The 2289-nt window shown below is 43.0% G+C and overlaps 1 annotated feature.

Moving 5' to 3' along the window:
• Positions 1581-2081: an enhancer, noted in NCBI's record as "H3K4me1 hESC enhancer chr12:15191267-15191767 (GRCh37/hg19 assembly coordinates)". NCBI's record gives its function as "activates a minimal SCP1, AML or CMV promoter by ChIP-STARR-seq in primed H9 embryonic stem cells {active_cell/tissue: H9 hESC(primed)}" and the evidence as "EXISTENCE:reporter gene assay evidence [ECO:0000049][PMID:30033119]".

Below are 2289 nucleotides of genomic sequence, written 5' to 3'. Positions count from 1 at the left end.
CCTTTCCCTAGAAAGAACATTCTTAACAGTGTCTGTGACTTGATCTCTCCAAGAGGAAGATGCACAGGAAGTCTAAATGCTTACCATCTGAAGAGTGGTGCTTGAACCCACAGCATCCCCATTGCCTGGAAGCTCCTTAGAAATGTGGAGTCTCCATCCCCACCCTAGGTCTGCTGAATTAGTCTTCATTTTAATAAGATCCTTGGGGGATTCACATGCACTATCTATCATGTATAAATTCTATCAGGTGTAAATAGCAGTTTAGTTACATACAGGAAATTGCTCTCCTCTAACATGACAGATGCAGATGTATCTTTGAAGCACCTAAAAATGTGCCCTTTTGAGGAAAATATTAGCTCTGTTCTACAGAAAATTGTGGCTAGAGATATGAAGTTATTTTTTCAAAATTACATTGTTCATAATTCCAGGACCACAGATAGAAGATAAACATCCTGCCTCAATATAGGATTCTTTCTACTGTGCCATAACTGGTCTTTCATTGTTGTGTTCTCTCTGGAGCAAATTAGGCTAACTGAAACACCAGTTACATTTTTTTCTATCAAGGCTATAGAATATACAGTTTACTAAACTCTAAATTTGAATACTGTCTAAATTCATGGAAAAATAAAACCCCATAACCCCAGCACCTTAACACAACTTCTATTTTTAATATGGTCAGTTCTAGTTTTTGGTCTTACATATCACATATATTTATGTAGAGACAAGTACTAAAACTTTAACTCCAACCCCTCAAAATATATTCTTCAAAAGATAGTGGTAGCGTGAAAAGTTCACTGGATTCACATTGGGACAGATGGACAACAATGCTAGGAAAAGAGAGAGTCTTTAGGCCCACAGAGTAAACATCCTGTCTGCAGCCAAAACTTAGATTGAGAGTTTATCTTTGATCACTGTGTTATCTACATCATATCCACATAGACATTCTCCTTCTTCAGTCTTGCACATCATTTCATTTTACTTTGGTTCTAAAGGTAATAAGAGAGGGTAATGTTTGCAATAACTTTGATTAGCCTTTCATCTCCAGACTTTACAAAACTATGTGATATTAACAAAACAGAAATTGGCTTACTTGAAGATTTCCTCTCCCCTCAAGCAATCGTCCTACATATTTTCCAGGGGAACATGGATTAGAAGAGTGGTTTTTAAACTGTTGGCAAGAAAAAATGAGTTGGGCTTGAGTCTCTTTACCAACTATTTTGCTTCTATCAAAACAACTCAGATCTATACATTTTATTATATGTTACCACATCTATGTTAAAATCTTAAAAATTTTTTTGGAATTTTAAACATTTTTATGATTGTTTTGGTAATGGAGATTTGATGTGGTATGTGTTAAGAAAGAGAAGGAATGGGGAGCTAAGATGGCTGACTAGATGCACCTCAGAAGAGCTTCTCCCACCAACAGACCAGACCAAGAAGATTGGCACACTCCAAACAGATCTTTGGAAGGAAGGAATTGAGAGTGGATAGAGGGAGGATACAGACCCTGGGCTGAAGGGAGAGGAAGCTGGAATCCTGCATAGAGCTGCTAAGCATGAAGACTCATTCCTGGGCCCCAGAGGCTTAAAGTTAAATAGGTGAGAAGTGGCCCAGTCTTACCATAGACTTCTGGAATTCTAGCTGCAGGAGACCCCACTACTGTCATGGACATTGGAGCTGAGAGGGAGAGCTCTTTGTATAGGTGGCAGGGACAGGACTCCAGCTTGTGCAGAGCTCAGAGGGTTTGGTGTGGGGACAGCTGTGGTGGAGTATGGCCAGGGAGGCCCATACCCAAAGGCTCACCACACTCCTCTAGATGACTCTAGCCTTTGCTGACTGTCAAACCTTGACAGAGCAGGGCACTCTTGCCCATTGGACAGGACCAGTCTGATATGAGCACCTCCCTCTCTGCACCCTCTTCTGGGGTCCCTGCCTGGTTGCATCTGCTTGCAGCCCAGTCTCAGATGCCCACTGGGGTGCTTCCTGGTGGCTGCTGCCATAGGTCTTTTACTACCAGACCTCACCTAACTGTTGGTAAGATCCAGCAGATGTGTACCAGCCAATGCCTACCCATGCACCCACAGCCTCCTCCCACTGCAGCCTGTCTGCAGGCTTCCCTGACACGCACCCACGGCCTCACCACCTGGCTGGCACTTGCATGTGTGAACATTTGTCACCACCCTGCCCTGATCAGTGCACATGTGTACGAGTGCAGAGCCCTCTGCCACCACCTGATGAAGTGCTTTGGCCGGTATCCTCCATTACAGTGTTATTGCCAACACTCTGGAA

This window comes from Homo sapiens, chromosome 12 (assembly GCF_000001405.40).
Source record: "Homo sapiens chromosome 12, GRCh38.p14 Primary Assembly".
In the NCBI taxonomy this organism is placed as follows: Eukaryota; Metazoa; Chordata; class Mammalia; order Primates; family Hominidae; genus Homo; species Homo sapiens.
This window is presented reverse-complemented; position numbering and strand designations above follow the sequence as displayed.